The 19,587-nt window shown below is 38.1% G+C and overlaps 1 protein-coding gene across 9 annotated transcripts in view, besides 1 other annotated feature; it reads left to right on the plus strand.

Annotated features, from left to right (window-relative positions):
* Positions 1–19,587, plus strand: part of C3orf20 (chromosome 3 open reading frame 20) — a 97,896-nt gene that overhangs the window by 55,220 nt on the left and 23,089 nt on the right. The gene's annotated exons all lie outside the window — the stretch shown is intronic.
* Positions 11,238–11,337: an enhancer, noted in NCBI's record as "active region_19521". NCBI's record gives its function as "activates an Ori minimal core promoter by ATAC-STARR-seq in GM12878 lymphoblastoid cells {active_cell/tissue: GM12878}" and the evidence as "EXISTENCE:reporter gene assay evidence [ECO:0000049][PMID:35858748]".

Genomic DNA, 19,587 nt, shown 5'->3' on the forward strand with positions numbered 1-19,587 from the left:
CATGGTGAAACCCCCTCTCTACTAAAAATAGAAAAAATTAGCCGGGTGTGGTGGTGGGCGCCTGTGGTCCCAGCTACTCGGGAGGCTGAGGCAGGAGAATGGCGTGAACCCAGGAGGCGGAGCTTGCAGTGAGCCGAGATCCTGCCACTGCACTCCAGCCTGGGTGACAGAGCGAGACTGTGTCTCAAAAATAATAATAATAATAATAATCGATTGTAAATACACCAGAAAGTATGCATTCTATGTTGATGAATATTTGGTTGTTTAGGTAGTAGCAAACTGTGCTACTATTGATTGGCATATGCCAGGATGTGAAATTGCTGTCATTGAGTATGTGTATGTTCAGCTTCTAGTACAGACTGTCCGTTTTCCGCCATGGTCGTTTTACGTTCTGCTCCCACCAGCAGTGTGTCTGAGAGTTCAGTTGCTCCACATCTTCACCAATGCTTGGTATGGTCAATCATTTTAATACAGCCATTCTGTAATGATGAAATGTGTTGTCTTAGTGACAAAGTGGTTTTTTATTTGCATTTCCCTGATGACTATAGAGGCTGAGCACCCTCCATTGTTTGTTGACCATTTTAAGTTCAGCAGTCCTTCTTTTCCTCAGGGGATACTTTCCAAGACCCACAGTGGATGTCTGAAACTGTGAACAGTACCAAGCCCTATATATACTCTGTTTTTCCCTATACATACACACACCACAGCCAAGATGCAGGACGATTCCATCACCCCCCAACCAAGAGAAAGAAATTCCCTTATGCTATTCCTTTGTAGCCAAACCCTTCCCTCACCCTTAATCCCTGACAACCACTGATCTGTTCTTTGTAGATATAGTTTTGCATTTTCCAGAACATCATGTAAATGGAATTCTACTGTATACAGCCTTTCGAATCTATCTTCTTTAACTTAGTATAATACATACAGGATTCATCCATATTGTTACATGGATCAGCAGTTCATTTCTTTTTATTACTGAGTAGTGTTCTGTCTCAGGGGGCCCCCACATCACCCCCACATTCAGAGATTAACTAGGACCCATGAGACTCATTATATAGTTGTATTCACGGATAAGGTTTATTATAATGGAAGGACACATGATATGATCAGCAAAGGAAAAAGACACAGGTAGAATCTGAAGGACACAGGTGTGTCTTCTGGTGCACAGTGAGAGGACACACCTAGCATGCTCCTTTCTCTAGCAGAAAAAAATGCAGTAACGTGTGCAATGTTTCTGCTAAGGAAGCCCACTAGGGACCCAAACCCAAGCTTTTTAGTGGGTACTGGTCACATAGGCACCCTAAGCCTAGCAACTAGCAAAATTCCAGGCTGCCAGAAGGAAAACAGGTATTCAGCATAAATCACATAGTTTGCAGTCTAGGCATAGAGCAGGGTGCCAAGTTCCCAGACACCAGCCAAGGGCTAATGTTGTAAATAAGTTCTTCTAAAGATAACAGCCTCAAGCCTTCTAATGTTAATTTTTTTGTGTATATAATACATGGCATGGATGGGCAAAATTTGTTTATCCATTCAACCACTGAAAGACATTTGGATTGTTTTCAGCTTTTTCTGATTATGATAAAACTGCTATAAATACTGTGAGCAGGCTTTTATGTGAGCCTAAGTTTTCATTTCACTTGGGTAAATACTTAAGAGCTAGATTGCCTGGTTTATAGTAAATGCATGTTTGACTTTGTAAGAAACTGCCAACTGTCTTCCCAAGTAGCTGTACCATTATCCATGTCCACCAACAATGTATGAGAGTTCCAATTGCTCCAAATCTTTGTTAGCACTTGATATTGTTGGGGTTTGGTTTTTTGCCATCTGATAGACATGTGGTAATATCCCATTATCGTTTTAATTTGCATTTCCCTAATAACTAAAGTTGTTGAGCATCTTTTCATGGCTTATTTACCATTCATATATTTTCTTTGGTGAAGTATCCAAGTCTTTTGCACATTTCAAAATTGGATTGTTTTCTTATTGTGAGTTTTGAAAGTTCTTTATTCTGGGTATAAGTCTTTTATCAGATATGTGACTTGAAATATTTTCTTCAGCCTTTGGCTTAATTTTTTATTCTCTTGACAGTGTATTTGCAGAGTAAAATGTATTTGGATGAAGTCTAATTGAAATAGGTTTTTTCTTTTCTGGATTGTGATTTGTTGTCATGTCTAAAAACCCTTTGTTTAACCCAGTGTTTCTCAACCAGAGATGAGTTTGCCCCCCAAGGGATATTTGACAATATTTGGAGATATTTTTTATTATCACGACTAGGGAGGGGGTGCTACTGCCATCTCGTGAGTTGAGGACAGAGATGCTGCTAAACATCCAGCAATGCACAAAACAGCTCCACATTACAAAGAATTATGAAGTCCAAAATGTCAATAGTGCCAAGATTGAGAATTCCTGGCCTAACCCAATGTCACAAAAATTTCTGCTATGTTTTCTTCTAAAAGCTTATTATAGTTTATGTTTTATATTTAGGTCTATGATCCATTTTGAGTTAATTTTTATATAAGGTATAGTGTATGAATTGAAGTTTGTTTGTTTTACATATGGATAGCCAATTGTTCCAACAGTACTTTTTTTTAAAAAGATAAATTTCTCCATTAAATTATCTTTGCACCTTTGGGTCTCTTTCTAGACTCTGTTTTGTTAATATGGTGAATTACTTTGATTTCAAATGTTGAACCAGTCTTGCATTCCTGGGATAAACTCCATTTGATCATAATGTATTATTCTTTTTCTGTATTGCTGGATTCAATTTGCTAGTATTTTGTTGAAGAGTTTTTCATCTATACTCATAAGGGTTATTGGTCTGTAGTTTTCCTTTCTTGTAATGTTTTTATCTATTGAGACAAGCATACAATTTTCCTCCTTTATTCTATTATTGTGGTGAATTATATAGATATTAATATGGATATATTTCAGATGTTCAACCAATCTTGTATTCCTGACATAAACTCAACTTGGTTATGATATATTTCCTTTTTATGTATTTCTAGACTTTAGGAGTTTTTGTATCTGTGCTTATAAGGTAGACTGGTCAATAATTTTTCCTTTCTTGCCATGTTATGGTCAGAAGTATTTCTTCTTTATCTATTATATGGTGGACTTTGTGTACATATGGATTATTTCTTCCCTAAATATTTGATAGAATTTGCCAGTGAAGTCACCTCTTCCTGGGATTTTCTTTCAGTGGAAGTTTTTAATTAAAATTTTTATTTTTAGTAGATATAGGACTATTCAGATTTCTTTTTGTGTTTATTTTGATAAGTTGGATTTTTCTAGGAATTTACCATTTTATCTAAATGTTTAAATATGTTGAAGTTGGTTTTTTTTTTTTTGAAACGGAGTCTCACTCTGTTGCCAGGCTGGAGTGCAATGGAGCCATCTTGGCTCAGGGCAACCTCTGCCTCCTGGGTTCAAGCGATTCTCCTGCCTCAGTCTCCCGAGTAGCTGCAATTACAGGCATGCACCACCACACCCAGCTAATTTTTGTATTTTTAGTAGGGACGGGGTTTCACCATGTTGGCCAGGATGGTCTCGATCTCCTGACCTCATGATCCGCCCACCTCGGCCTCCCAAAGTGCTGGGATTATAGGCGTGAGCCACTGCACCCAGCCTATGTTGAAGTTTTTAAAAAGATCCTTTTGCAATATTTTAAATGACTGTGTTGATCTCTAGTGATACCCTCTTTTACAATACTAGTGTTAATTATTTTTGCAATTTTTCTTTTCTCCTTGATTAGTCCCAGGATTTATTGATTTATTAGTGTTTCCAAAGAACCAAATTTTAATTGTGTTGATCTTCTTATACGTTTGTCTTATTACTTTATTAACTTTTACTCTTATCTTTATTGTTTCCTTCTGTCTACTTTCTTTGGGTTTAATTTTATATTCTTTTTCTGACTTCCTGAGGTGGATGCTTAGATAATTGGGCTTTTTCTTTTTCTTTTTTGAATATATACATATAATATTACAAATTTCCCTCAAAGTCCAGTTTTAGCTGCATCCCGCAAGCTTTGATATGCCATATGGTAATTATTAAGCTCAAAATATTTTATATTTTTCTTTCTTGTTCTTTCTTGTCCCGTTGGATATTTAGAGTGTGTAACGTAATTATACCATTTCGGGATTGTCTAGTTATCATTTTTTCTTTTTAACATTAAATTGTGTTGTGGTCAGAGAAAAAACTGCATAATTTCAACCCTCTGTAATTTGCTTAGACTTGTTTTATGGCCCAGCACATAGTCAATTTTGGTAAATGTTTCATGTGGAGCTAAAATGATGCATATTCTGCAGTTTTTTGATACAGCGTTTTATAAATGTCAGGTCAAATTTATTAATTTAATTTATTAATCATATTGCTTAAATCTTATATATACTTATAAATACTTTCTTATTTGTATCATTTACTGATAGAAGTGTGTTAATATCTCCCACGATAATTTTGGAGCTCTCTATTTCTCCTTTTATTTCTGTAAATTTTTGCTGTATGTATTTTGAAACTATGTTATTAGACAAATGCAAACTTAAAATTGTAAACATTGTGAATTTTCCATTTTATTAAGAACTCTCTTTATCTCTAGAGATGTTTTATGTATTACAGCCTGTATTCTCTAGTATTAGTTTAATTGCATCAGTTTTCTGGTTATTTTTCATAATATATCTTTTTTTGTTTTTTAATTTTTTACTTTCACCCTTTCTGCTCCTTTATTTTAAGGTCTGTCTCTTGAAAGAATTATATATTTTTTGTTTTTTAATTAAATTCAGTCTTTCAATCTTTGTCTTTTAATTAGAGTATTTAATCTTTTTACATTAATATAGTTACTTAAATATTTGGGCTAATATTTTTACATTAATATAATTACTTAAATATTTGTACCACCTTACTGTTTGTTTGCTGTTTGACTCACTTGCACTGTATTCTTTATTCTTTCCTTTTTTGCCTGATTGTGTATTAATGAAAGTTTTTTTTTATTCTAAGTTTCTCCATATATTATTTAAATATTTAAACATTATTTTAGTATTTCTTTAGTGGTTACTCCAGAGACTATAACACAAATCCATGATTAATTACTAAAGTATAATATACTCTAGCATTTTTACCACTTTGCAGACAATGCAATGATCTTAGAATACTTTGTCCATTTACCGCTTGTTTTGCACTATTGTTGTCATGTGTTTTAATTCTATATATATGTTATAAACTATCCCATGAGACACTATTATGAATTTTTTTTTTTTTTGAGGCGAAGTCTCTCTCTGTCACCCAGGCTGGAGTGCGGTGGTGCCATCACAGCTCACTGCAACCTCCACCTCCTGGGTTCAAATGATTCTCCTGCTTCAGCCTCCCAAGTAGCTGGGATTACAGGTGCCCACCACCACGCCTGGCTAATTTTTTGTATTTTTAGTAGAGATGGGATTTCACCATGTTGGCCAGGCTGGTCTTGAACTCCTGACCTCAAGTGATCCACCTGCCTCAGCCTCCCAAAGTGCTGGGATTACAGACGTGAGCCACTGCACCTGGCCTATTGTGAACATAATTATACAGTTTATATTTAGATTTGCCCACATATTTACTTTTTTCATTGTTCTTTATTTTACACATAAGACTATTCAGATTTTTAATTTCTTTTTGTGTCTATTTTGGTAAGTTGGCTTTTTCTAGGAATTTATCCCTTTCATCCAAATGTTTAAATATGTTGAAATAAAGTTTTTCAAAATATTCTCTTGTGATATTTTAAATGACTGTAAGATCTGTGATGATACTCCTTTTCACATTAACTAGTATTAGACATTTGTGCCTTCTTTTCTTTTTGCTTCATGCTTCCATTTGGGATCATTTTCCTTCTGTCTGAATAGCTATCTTCAAATTCTCCTTAAAGTATGCTGGAATTTTTTGGGTTTTGCCTGAATATGTTTTTATTTCACTTTTTTTTTTTTGAGACAGAGTCTTGCTCTGTTGCCCAGGCTAGAGTGCAGTGGCACAATCTCGGCTCACTGCAACCTCTGCTTCCTGGGTTCAAGCGATTATCCTGCTTCAGCCTTCTGGGTAGCTGGGATTACAAGCGTGTGCCACCATACCTGGCTAATTTTTGTATTTTTAGTAGAGATGAGATTTCACCATATTGGCCAGGCTGGTCTTGAACTCCTGACCTCAAGTGATCCACTTGCCTTGGCCTCCCAAAGTGCTATGATTACAGGCATGAGCCACTGCGCCTGGCCTTTTTTTTTTTTGTCACTCAGGCTGGAATGCAGTGGCATGGTCTCAGCTCACTGCAACCTCCACTTCCCAGGTTCAAGTGATTCTCGTGCCTCAGCCTCCTGAGTAGCTGGGACTACAGGCATATGCCACCACACCCAGCTAATTTTCATATTTTTAATAGACATGGGGCTTCACCATGTTGCTCAGGCTGATCTCAAACTCCTGACCTCAAGTGATCCACCTGCCTCAGCCTCCCAAAGTGCTGAGATTACAGGTGTGAGCCACTGTGCCTGGCCCATTACCTACATTTTGAGTGGTATTTTCTGTGTTCCTAAGGTTGGCAATTACTTTGTTTTAGCACTTTGAAGATGTCGTTCTGCTGTTTTCTGGCTTCTACCATTTTATTAAGGATTTAGCTGTTGGTCTTATTGTTGCTCTTTGAAGATATTGCATCTTTTTTTCTCTGGCTGTTTTTTTCTCTCACCTTTAGTTAGTGTTGTTTCTTTAAAGGCTTTTCTATGATGTGCCTAAATGTAATTTTCATTGTACTTATCCAGTTTGTAGAACTTCTTGATATGATGCTTTCATTATTTAGAAAAAATTCTCAGCTATTATTTCATTAAATATTTCTCCTCTTTTCTCTTTTTATCCTCCCTTTTTTCTCTTTTTCCCCCTCCCTTCCTCCTTTACCTCCTTCCCCACCTTTCCACTTTCTCTTTCTTTTCTCTCTATCTGGGACTCCCAAGTACACCTTTTTACTAAGTTTCATGTACAGGCATACCTTGGAAATATTGTAGATTTGGTTCCAGACCACTACAATAAAGCAAATTGCAATAAAGCAAATCACACAAATTTTTTGGTTTTCCAGTACATATAAAAGCTATGTTTACAATATACTATAGTCTATTAAGTGTGCAACAGCATTACCTCTAAAAACACAATGTACATACCATAATTTTAAAATATTTTATTGCTGAAGATATGCTAATGCACATCTGAGACTTCAGCAAGTCCTAATCTTTTTGCTGGTGGAGTGTCTTGCCCTGAGGCTGACTGATCAGGGTGGTGGTTGCTGAAGGTTAGAGTGGCAATGGTAATTTCTTAAAAGAAGACAGCAAAAAAGTTTGCCACATTAATTAATTTTTCCTTTCACAAAAGATTTCTCTGTAGCATTTGATGCTGTTTGATAGAATTTTGCCCATGGAACTTTTTCAAAATTGGAGTCAGTCCTCTCAAACTCTGCTGCTGTTTTATCAACTAAGTTTATGTAATGTTCTAAATCTTTTGTCATTTCATCAATGTTTATGGCATCTTCACCAGGAGTAGATTCTATCTCAACAAACCACTTTCTTTGTTTATCCATGAGAAGCAACTTTTCATCCCTTCAAGTTTATTCATGAGATTGCAGCAATTCGGTCACATCTTCAGCCTCCACTTCTAATTCTAGCTTTGTTGCTATTTCTACCACATTTTCAGTTACTTCCTCCACTGGAGTCTTGAACTCCTCAGAGTCATTCGTGAAGGTTGGAGTCAATTTCTTCCAAATTCCTGTTAAATGTTGACATTTTGACCTCCCATGAATCACAAATATTCCTTTTTTTTTTTTTTTTTTTTTGAGGCAGAGTCTCACTCTGTCACCCAGGCTGGAGTACAGTGGTGCAATCTTGGCTCACTGCAACCTCTGCCCCCCGGGTTCAAGCAATTCTCCTGCCTCAACCTCCTGAACAGCTGGGATTACAGGCATCTTCCACCATGCCCAACTAATTTTTTTTTTTTTAGATGGAGTCTTGCTCTGTTGCCCAGGCTGGAGTGCAGTGGCGTGATCTCAGCTCACTGCAAGCTCCACCTTCTGGGTTCATGCCATTCTCCTGCCTCAGCCTCCCCAGTAGCTGGGACTACAGGCACCCGCCACCACACCTGGCTAATTTTTTGTATTTTTTTTAGTACAGATGGGGTTTCACCATGTTAGCTAGGATGGTCTCGATCTCCTGACCTCGTGATCTGCCCACCTTGGCCTCCCAAAGTGCTGGGATTACAGGCATGAGCCACCATGCCCGGCCTTTTTTTTTTTTTTTTTTTTTTGACAGAGTTTCTCTCTTGTTGCCCAGGCTGGAGTGCAATGGCACATGGCACAATCTTGGCTCACCGCAACCTCCGGCTCCTGGGTTCAAGCGACTCTCCTGCCTCAACCTCCTGAGTAGCTGGGATTACAGGCATGCACCACCATGCCTGGCTAATTTTTTTGTTTTTTTTTTTTTTTTTTTTAGTAGAGATGGGGTTTCTCCATGTTGGTCAGGCTGGTCTTAAACTCCTGACCTCAGGTGATCCACCCACCTCAGCCTCCCAAAGTGCCGGGATTACAGGTGTGAGCCATTGTGCCCAGCCAATTTTTGTATTTTTAGTAGAGACGGGGTTTCGCCATGTTGGTCAGGCTAGTCTCAAACTCCTGACCTCAGGTGATCCACCTGCCTCGGCCTCCCAAAGTGCTGGAATTACAGGCATGAGCCACTGTGCCTGGCTCACAAATATTCTTAATGACATCAAGAATGGTAAATCCTTTTCCAAAGGTTTTCAATTTACTTTGCCCAGATCCATCAGAGGAATCACTACCTACAGCATCTATAGCTTTACAAAATGTATTTCTTAGGTAATAAGACTTGAAAGTCTACTCCTTGATCTGTGGGCTGCAATATGGTTGCTATATTAGTAGGCATAAAAATAATAATCTTGTACATCTCCATCAGAACTCTAGGGTGACCAGGTGCATTGTCAATGAGCAGTATTATTTTGAAAGGAATCTTTTTTCCTGAGCAGTAGTTCTCAACAGTAGACTTAAAATATTCAGTATACTATTCTGTGAATAGATTGCTGTCATCCAAGCTTCATTGTTCCATTTATATAGCACAGGCAGAGTAGATTTAGCATCATTCTTAAGGGCTCTAGGGTTTTCAGAATGGTAAATGAGCATTGGCTTTAGCCTAAAGTCACCAGCTGCCTTAGCCTCTAATAAAAAGAGTCAGCCTGTCCTTTGAAGCTTTAAAGCCAGACATTGACTTCTCCTCTCTAGCTATGTAAGTCCTAGGTGGCATCTTCTTCCAGTAGAAGGCTCTTTCATGTACATTTATAATCTGTTGTTTAGTATAGTCACCTTCATCAATGATCTTAACTAGATCTTCTGTATAACATGCTTTAGCTTCTTAATCAGCACTTGCTGCTTCACCTTGTACTGTTGTGTTATGGAGATGGTTTCATTCCTTAAATCTCATGAATAACTTTGCTAGATTACGATTTTTCCTTTGTGGCTTCCTCATCTCTCTCAGCCTTCACAGAATTAAAGAGAGCTTGGGCCTTGCTCCAGATTAGGCACTGACTAATAAGAATATTATGGCTGATTTGCTTTTCTATGCAGACCACTAAAACTTTCTCCATATCAGCAATAAGGCTGTTTTGCTGTCTTATTTGTGCATTCATTGGAGTAGCACTTTTAATTTCCTTCATGAACTTTTTCTTTGCATTCACAACTTGGCTGACTGGCACAGGAGGCCTAGATTTAAACCTATCTCAGCTTTCAGCTTGCCTTCCTCACTAAGGTTAATCATTTCTAGCTTTTGATTTAAAGTGAGGTGCGTGCAACTCTTTTCACTTGAATACTTAGGAATCATTGTAGAGTTACTATAGTAGTTGGTCTAATTTCAATATTGTTATGCCTCAGGGAATAGGGAAGCCCAAGGAGATGGAGAGAAACAGGGGAATGGCTGGTTGGTGGAGCAGTTAGAACACACACAATATTTGTCAATTAAGTTTGCTGTCTTATATGGGCATGGTTCATTGGTGCCCCCAAACAATTACAATAGTAACATCAAAGATCACTTAACACAGATTACCATAAGAGATATAATAATAATAAATTTTGAAATATTGCAGGAATTACCAAATGTGACACAGAGACATGAAGTGAGCACATGCTATTGGAAAAATGATGCCAATAGACTTGCTCAACACAAGGTTGCCACTAACATTCAATTTCTAAAAAAACACAGTATCTGCAACATGCAGTAAAGTGGAGCACAATAACATGAAGTATGTCTGTATTTCTTGTTCTCTGTTCTGTATATTTCATCTTTTTTTTTCCCTTTTGGTCAGCCTAGGTATTTTCTACTGACCTGTCTTCCAATTTACTCATGCTTTTTTTTAACTGTGTCTAATGTGCTGATAAAACTCATCTTTTGAGTTCTTGATCTTATTTATTCTATTTTTCACTTTTAGAATTTCCAGTGGATTCATTTTTATTCTTATACTCTGCTGAAATTCTCCATCTTGTTTCTTATTTAATTGTACATTTTAATCATAGCTACTATAAAGCTTCTGTCAGATAATTCTAATATCTGCATTTCTATAAGTCTGTTTCTCACTGTTTTCAGCCAATCCTTGACTTTGTATCTAATATTCTTTAGTATGCCAGATATTGTGTATGAAAAACCGTAGACATAATTTAAGACTCTGGATGATATCATGTTCCTCTGGAGAGGACTTATCTTTCCTTTCAACAGGCGAGTAGGCTGGGGGCAGATGACTCTCATCCAAACAAGGATTGAAACTGTGCTTCAGCCTTTGTGAGGTCTTGTCTATTTTTGTTTCACCTTTACTCCTCAGATAGATATAGCTCTTCGGGTCCTCAACTGAAAGCCAAGGTTGTTTATCAGAGTCTTCTACCTCGGTGGGCCCTGAATTCCTGTTTTTCTCTCTCTAGCTTCGTGAACATGTCAGGAGCTCTGCTTGGCTTCTCTGCCTGTCATCCCTGGGTTTACTTTCAAAATCAACACTTGCCTTGAAAGGTAAAAGAGTTCTAAATGTCATGCTCACTTTCATTAGTTTCTCTCTTTTACCAGATCCTAGCCCTGAAAATCCTCACTGACTTGTGACTCTAATGCACTTAGACTTACTTTAAATATACACTGTGTTGAACTTTCTGTGTTTTCTGAGAAGGAGGATTGGTCTAAAATACCCTAAGTCAGCCATTGTCAGAAGTGAAACACCTGTGATTGTTCTGTGGGGATTCTTGGCTTTGCCCAGAAAAGAATTAAAGTGCAAGCTAGTGGTGGAAGAAAACAGCTTTACTGAAGAGGTGTTACAGCTCTGGCGGTGTTACAGCTCTGGCAGTGTTACAGCTCTGTGACTGCTCCTGCAGAGCAGGGAAACCCCATAGGCAGTGTGCTGAGAGTAGCAACTCAGGGCAGTTTTGCAGTCATATTTATACCTGCTTTTAATTACATATAGATTAAGTGGTGGGTTACGTAGAAATTTCTAGGGTAGAGGTAGTAACTTTTGGGTCATCAGGTTATTTTCATAGAAAGGGGCAGTAACTCCCAGGTGTTGCCACAGCAGTGGTAAACTGACATGGCTCGCTGGTGGGCATGTCTGATGGAAAGCTGCTTCTACCTCGTCCCTGCTTTAGCTAATCCTCAGTTTGGTCTGGTGTCTGACTTATGCCTCCTACCTCAGCAAGAGTGGAAGCAAACTAGTTAGAAGACTGTTTTAGTAATCTATTAAGTTGGTGCAAAAGTAATTGCCATTACGTTTAATGACAAAAACCGCAATACTTTTGCACCAACCTAGTAAGTAACATTAGTGATATGCTGTCAAAGATGGTAGTAGGGAAAAGAGAATTTTAAATTTACGGAGGACTTTTAGATTTTTGGCTTAAATAACTGAGTAACAATGGCGTCACTGACTCAGATGGGAAGACTGAGGGAAAAGTAGGTTTGGGAGGCGTTAGATGAGAATAAATGTATAAATTGCAAATGTATCCCCATCAGGGTACATTGGGATGTATGTGAGTGGGGACACTGGCCCAGGTGGAGAGACCCCAGAATCCAGTCAGAGCCACTGTTATGAATTTTTGCAAGATTGGTCAGTGGGCTTCTGAGTCCTTTTCTCCTTTGATCTTAGAGCAATGTCTCCTCACTTCATAGAACCTAGTCCTAAAATCCTGAGAAAGTTATGAGAATTGGCCTCTTTAGGAGAAGATTTTCTTGTCTAAGACATTGAGACTTTCAAAATTTCAGTTTCTGTCAAATTGGTTGTATTAGTTCATTTTCATGCTGCTGATAAAGACATACCCGAAACTGGGAACAAAAAAAGGTTTAATTGGACTTACAGTTCCACATGGCTAGGGAGGCCTCAGAATCATGGTGGGAGGCTAAAGGCTCTTCTTATGTGGTGGTGGCAAGAGAAAACGAGGAAGAAGCAAAAGCAGAAACCCCTGATAAACCCATCAGATCTCATGAGATTTATTCACTATCAGGAGAATAGCATGGGAAAGACCAGCCCACGTGATTCAATTACCTCCCCACTGGGTCCCTCCCACAACACGTGGGAATTCTGAGAGATAAAATTCAAGTTGAGATTTCAGTGGAGACACAGCCAAACCATATAATTCCACCCGTGGCCCCCCTAAATCTCATGTCCTCACATTTCAAAATTAATCATGCCTTCCCAACAGTCCCCCAAAGTCTTAACTCATTTCAGCATTAACCCAAAAGTCCAGTCCAAAATGTCATCTGAGACAAGGCAAGTCCCTTCCGCCTGTGAGCCTTTAAAATTGAAAGCAAGCTAGCTACTTCCTAGATACAATGGGGGTACAGGTATTGGGTAAATACAGCCATTTCAAATGGGAGAAATTGGCCAAAACAAAGGGGTTACAGGGCCCGAGGAAGTCTGAAATCCAGCGGGCCAAATTTTAAAGCTTTGAAATGACCTCCTTTGACTCCAGGTCTCACATTCAGGTCAGGCTGATGCAAGAGGTAAGTTCCCAGGGTCTTGGGCAGCTCTGCCCCTGTGACTTTGCAGGGTACAGCCTCCCTCCTGGCTCCTTTCATGGGCTGACGTTGAGTGGCTTTTCCAGGTGCATGGAGCAAGCTGTCACTGGATCTACCATTCTGGGGTCTGGAGGACAATGGCCCTCTTCTCACAGCTCCACTAGGCAGTGCCCCAGTAGGGACTTTGCATGGGGGCTCTGACCCCACATTTCCCTTCTGCACTGCCCTAGCAGAGGTTCTTCATGAGGACCTCACCCCTGCAGCAAACTTTTGCCTGAGCATCCAGGCGTTTCCATACATCTGAAATCTAGGTGGAGGTTCCCAAACCTCAATTCTTCACTTCTGTGCACCCACACACTCAACTCCTTGTGGAAGCTGCCAAGGTTTGGGGCTTCCACCCTCTGAAGCCACAGCCCAAGCTATATGTTGGCCCCTTTCAGCCATGGCTGGAGCAGCTGGGACACAGGGCACCAAGCCCCTAAGCTGCACACAGCATGGGGACCCTGGGCCCAGCCCACGAAACCACTTTTTCCTCCTGGGCCTCCAGGCCTGATGGGAGGGGCTATCAGGAAGTTCTCTGATATGGCCTGGAGACATTTTTCCCATGGTCTTGGAAATTAACATTAGGCTCCTTGCTGCTTATGCAAATTTCTGCAGCCAACTTGAATTTCTCCCCAGAAAATGGGCTTTTCTTTTCTATCACATAGTCAGGCTGAAAATTTTCCAAACTTTATGCTCTGCTTCCCTTATAAAACTGAATGCCTTTAACAACACCCAGGTTACCTCTTGAATGCTTTGCTGCTTAGAAATTTCTTCCACCAGATACTCTAAATCATCTCTCTCAAGTTCAAAGTTCCACAAATCTCTAGGGCAGGGGCAAAATGCTACCAGTCTCTTTGCTAAAACATAACAAGAGTCACCTGTGATCCAGTTCCCAACAAGTTCCTCATCTCCATCTGAGACCACCTCAGCCTGAATTTTATTGTCCATATCGCTGTCAACATTTTGGGCAAAGCCATTCAACAAGTCTCTAGGAAGTTCCAAAATTTCCCACATTTTCCTGTCTTCTTCTGAGCCCTTCAAACTGTTCCAACCTTTGTCTGTTACCCAGTTCCAAAGTCACTTCCACATTTTCGGGTATCTTTTCAGCAATGCCCCACTCTACTGGTACCAATTTACTGTATTAGTTCGTTTTCACACTGCTGATAAAAACATACTCGAAACTGGGAATGAAAAAAGGTTAATTGGACTTACAGTTCCCCATGGCTGGGGAGGCCTTAGAATCATGGTGGGAGGTGAAAGACTCTTCTTACATGGCGACGACAAGAGAAAATGAGGAAGAAGCAAAAGCAGAAACCCCTGATACACCCATCAGATCTCATGAGATTTATTCACTGTCACGAGAATAGCATGGGAAAGACCAGCCCACGTGATTCAATTACCTCCCCACTGGGTCCCTCCCACAACATGTGGGAATTCTGGGAGATAAATGCAAGTTGAGATTTCAGTGGGGACACAGCCAAACCATATCATTGGTGTAATAATTCCTTCTTCCTGTGTACTCTCCATGTTCCTGTGAATAGCAAATACTGTTTCTTAGTTGTGAAAATGTGCTTTTTAAACAGTGAGTGCTGTGAAAATGTAGAGTCATGTGTTAATGTTTCCAGATATCCTCAGGGACATTAGTGGGAAGTAAGGAAGCAACTGACAAATCTGTTTGCCTGTTAGAGCAGGAAGGGGAGCAGTTGATGAAGCTAGGCTGAAGAGGTTAGATTTGATGTGCAGGACAAATTACTAGAACCCACAGAGAGAGAGAGAGCAGTGAGGGAGGACCTTCTGACAGAGCCATTGGCCTGCAGTTGAGAGGTGCATGACCCCACAGGGAGGGAACTAGGGAGGTGGCTCTCCAACCTTATGCTCCTCTTTCCCTCTGATCTCCTGCTGGTGCCCCTACTGGCAAAACCCAACTAGAGTTTCCTTATGCCTATGCAAGCAAGTGCAAATATGCCTTATTTCTTCCGCTTTGCTGGCTTAAAAAGCATTATATTAAAACAGTGTTCTGAACTTTACTTTTTCACAATATGTCATGAATAGCTGTCATTCTTTTTCTTCTTGCTATATAATACCCACTGTGTAGGTGTTCTGTGATTAGCCCAATCCTTTTTTCCTATTACAAGCAATGGAGGTAGTAACCATATACATTTGTGATATCACATTTGTACAACTATATCTGTAAATAAATTCCTAAAGATGAAATTATTAGACCAAGGGTCATGTGCATTTATAATTTTAAGAGATAGTGTCAAATTAATCACCATAAGATTATACCAATTTACATTCTCATCAGCAAAATATGTTACCTTAGTATAGTTTTAATTTGTATTTATATTATTAAAAGTGAAGTGGAGCTTCTTTACATAATTTTTATGAGTTACATACAACATATACATAATATAAAATTGACCATTTTAACCATTTAATGAAGTGTGCAGTTCAGCAGAATTTAATATACTCACAGCATCATACAACCATCACCACTATTTAATTCCAGAACTTTTTTAAATCACCCCAAAAGGAAACTTTGTACCCATTAAACAGTCACTTCCCATTCTCCCTTCCCTAGAAACTACTAATCTACTTTCTGTCTCTATGAATTTGCCCATTCTCCATGTTTTACATAAAGGGAATCATACTGTCAAAGTCAAATAAAAATATAGAGATGAATCTCTAAAGAAGAGCTTTTATTTGGGAAAACAAACTTGCAATTGGAGGCATACACACAAACCAGGCAGTCTTTGATATGTCCAATAACAAGGAAAGTTGGGGGTTTTACTAGAAAGATAAATGTTACATATTGTTTGGAAGGAAAGCTCCTTGGTGCTAGCAAAGTTTTGGGGAACTGGCAAACTCTGATTGATGAGTGATAGCAGTAGGTAAAACTAGTCTCAGAATCACAGCAGTTCACTTAAGCTGCTACTAGGTAAATTTAGTCTTAAGGTTATAGGAGGTCATTTCAGCAACTGGATTGCGATATAATCCCTGAGTAGGCTCTTGTGCCCCAACTGTTTTTTCCCTGTGGTCTTGACTGTAATTTAATTGGTTATGACGAGATAACTGCAACATATATTATCCATTTTCACATCTCCTCCTCTTGGTCAAGATCTTTTTCTGAAAGCATCATTGATCAACTATCTTGAAGTTAGGCTAGTTGTCCCTCAGTGTCAGGATGGACCTGTTCCAGTGGTCTCTGGTCTCACATTGTGGGGAAGGTGATGCAGTCAAAGTCAAGGACCCTAGACACAATTGAGCAACAAAGAGGCCATAAGGAAGGAAAAAAACTTTCTTTGGGCAGTTTTGCCTGGAGTTTGTCATTGAGTTCTGTCTTCTTAGATCCATGGGCATTAAGCAATCATCTCAAAATGTTGAGCTAACATTATCCTGTTGGAAGAACTGATTTTACAAATATTAGACAGACAACAAGAACAGAGCTTAAAGCTCATAATACAAAAAATAACCAGCAACAGTATCCTAAATTCAGTTTTGAACCAAGAGCCAAGCCTAAGGGCAATTAACTAAACAAATCAAAGGACAATGGGGGAACTGGGAACTGGGTGAGAACTGTTGTAGCCATTGAGTAGCATTTTATGACTGGGTTGAATTAAAGCAAAGAGTGGCAACTCTAAAAGGGACTTCTAGTACAATTTGAACAAGTTAGGGATGTTGTCAAAGTTACCAACTAGGTGGCCTAAAGGATTTATTAGGTTAGGTTCTGTCAAGTTACTCATAGCAGTTACTGACTGAAATTTTGATTACAGCCGTTACTCTGTTCAGTGAAAAAGGTAGGTATTACAAGGGGTAAGAGTCTCATTATGATATGAAATCTTGTTTGGCATCTTGGGAAAATCTGTCTACAGCATGAAGTTGGCAATATTGCAGCTTGAATATCTCTGGTTATAGTGGTTATGGCACCAGCTGGCTTTGTTAAACTCCCTGTGTGGCCCACCCATTAAGCGTAAACCTTGTCTTTTGAAATTTACACCAAATTATCTAGCCTCAGTTTATAGGTATTTAGGAAAGAGCAGTTTCTGCCCTTAGTAATTCAATGAGAGAAAACTGGATTGAAAGAACCAAGACAAATTTAGGATCCAGTCTAGTCTACAGATAGAAAACAAAAACTTGAAAACAATGCACAGGGCTACAGTCTAATAACAGGTATATTATAGTTTTTCTTTGGAAACATGATTTTTCTCTTCAGTCATCCCACTTTCTACCAAAGACAATCAGAGTAAGGCAATATTGTTTGCAAAATAAGTTTAGTCTCATCAATTTTGGTCTGGTCATTTACATAAGTGCAGAAAGAATAGTAACTGATCACATAGAAATCTCAGATTTGACCTTTTTTTAAAAAATGTTGAGGCTAGGAAGACAAAGGCAGGCTTTATATTATATATATATGATATATTTTCTATAAACAATTTTTAATATGACATCTTAGTCAAACTTTTGTTTGCTGGTATTTTGCTGAGAATTTTTACATCTATATTAATAAGGGATATTTGTCTGTTTTTCTTTTTTGTAGTGTCTTTGTCTGGCTTTGGTATCAGGGTAATGCTGAGGTTTCCATTTCTTCTGTTTTTAGGTGAGTTTGAGAAAGTTTTGGTGTTAGTTCTTCTTTAAATTTTAGGTAGAATTCACAAGTGAAAATATCTAGTTCCAGGCTTTTCTTGGGGGGTTTTTGATTACTGATTCAATCTTTTTACTTGTTAGAGGCTTATTCAGATTATATATTTCTTCTTGAGTTAATTTTGATCATTTGTGTGTCTTAGAAATTTGTCCATTTCTTTTAGATTATCTGATTTGTTGGCATACAATTGTTCACAATTTTTTCTTACAGTTTTTAAATTCTGTAAGGTTGGTAATAATGACCCACTTTCATTTTTTATTTCAGTAATTTGCAACTTTTCTCTTTTAGTCAGTCTAGCTAAATATTTAGTCTGCTCTATACAGAGAACCAACATCTGTTTTGTTGTTTCTCTCTATGGTTTATCTATTCTTTATTTATTTACCTTGACTGACTCCAATCATTATTATTTTCTTCCCTCTGCCAGCTTTGGGTTTAGTTTGTTCTTCTTCTTCTGCTTTAAGGTTAGGTTAGATTATTGGTTTGAGATTTTCTTCTCTTTTAATGTAGGCATTTACAGCTATAAATATTCCTGACTGTTGCTCTCAGTGTATCCCTTAAGTTTTGGTACGTTGTTTTTGTTTTCATTTCCTTAAAGTGTTGTTTTCTAATTTCCCTTGAGATTCCTTCTTTGACCCATTTGTTGTTTAATAATGTGTTGCTTAATTTTCACATATTTGTGAATTTTCCAAATTTCTTCCTGTTATTGAATTCTAATTTCATATCATTGTGCTTGGAGAAGAGATTTTATAATGTTTTCAGTCTTTTTAAATTTATTGAGATTTGTTTTGTGGTCTCATATATAGTCTGTCCTGAAGAATGTTCCATGTGCAATAGAGAAGAATGTGTGTTTTGCGGTGCTTGGATCAAATGTTCTATATGTGTCTGTTAGTTCTAGTTGGTTTATAATGTTCTTCAAGTTTTCTATTTCCTTGTCTTTTGTCTAGTTATCCTATCCGTTATCAAAAGTGGGATGTTAAAGTATCTAACTATTACTATAGAATTGCCTATTTCTTCCTTCAATTCTGTCAGGTTTTGCTTCATATATTTAGGGACTCTATTGTTACATGTGTATATGTTTGCAATTGTTATATTTCTAGATAGAGTAACTGTCTTCTAAATACATAATGTCCTCATTTGTCTCCCATAATAATTTTTTACTTAAAGTCTATTTTTGTCTGATATTAGTATAACCACTCCTGGTTATTTTTTTCCTTTAGGTTATTATTTGCTTAGAGTGTTTGTTTTCAATCTTTCATTTTAAACTTAGCTGTATGTTTGTTTGTTTAGACATGGGGTATCACTGTGTTGCCAAGGCTGGACTCAAACTCCTGGGCTCAAGAGAGCCTCCCACCTCAGCCTACCAAGTAGCTGGAACTGCAGACACATGCTACTGCATGCAGCTTTAGTTGCATGTTTGAATCTAAAATGCATCTCGTGTAGGGAGCATGTAGTTGGATTACAGTTGGATTTGCATTCCACTGATCTGAGTTTTGTTTAAGACTTTAATCCATTTATGTTTAAAGTAATTACTGACTAGGAAGGACTTCTGCCATCTTGCTGTTAGTTTTCTAGAAATCTTTCTGTTTTTCAATTCCTCCATCATTGCCTTTTTTACGTTTAATTGATTTTTTTTTTTTACTGTATGGTTTTGAATTCCTTCTCATTTATTTTTCTGTATATTTTAGTTATTTTCTTTGTGGTTACCGTGGTGATTATAAGTAACATCTTAAATGTGTAACAATCTAGTTTGAATTAATACCAACTTAGCTTTAGTAGCATACAAAGTTATCTGCTCCCGTACAGCTTCCTTCCCACCTCTCTACTTTATGTTGACATTGTTATAAAAAACGTCTTTATGCATTGTGTGCCCATTAA

The sequence above is a fragment of the Homo sapiens genome, chromosome 3, assembly GCF_000001405.40.
Source record: "Homo sapiens chromosome 3, GRCh38.p14 Primary Assembly".
NCBI classification, from domain to species: Eukaryota; Metazoa; Chordata; class Mammalia; order Primates; family Hominidae; genus Homo; species Homo sapiens.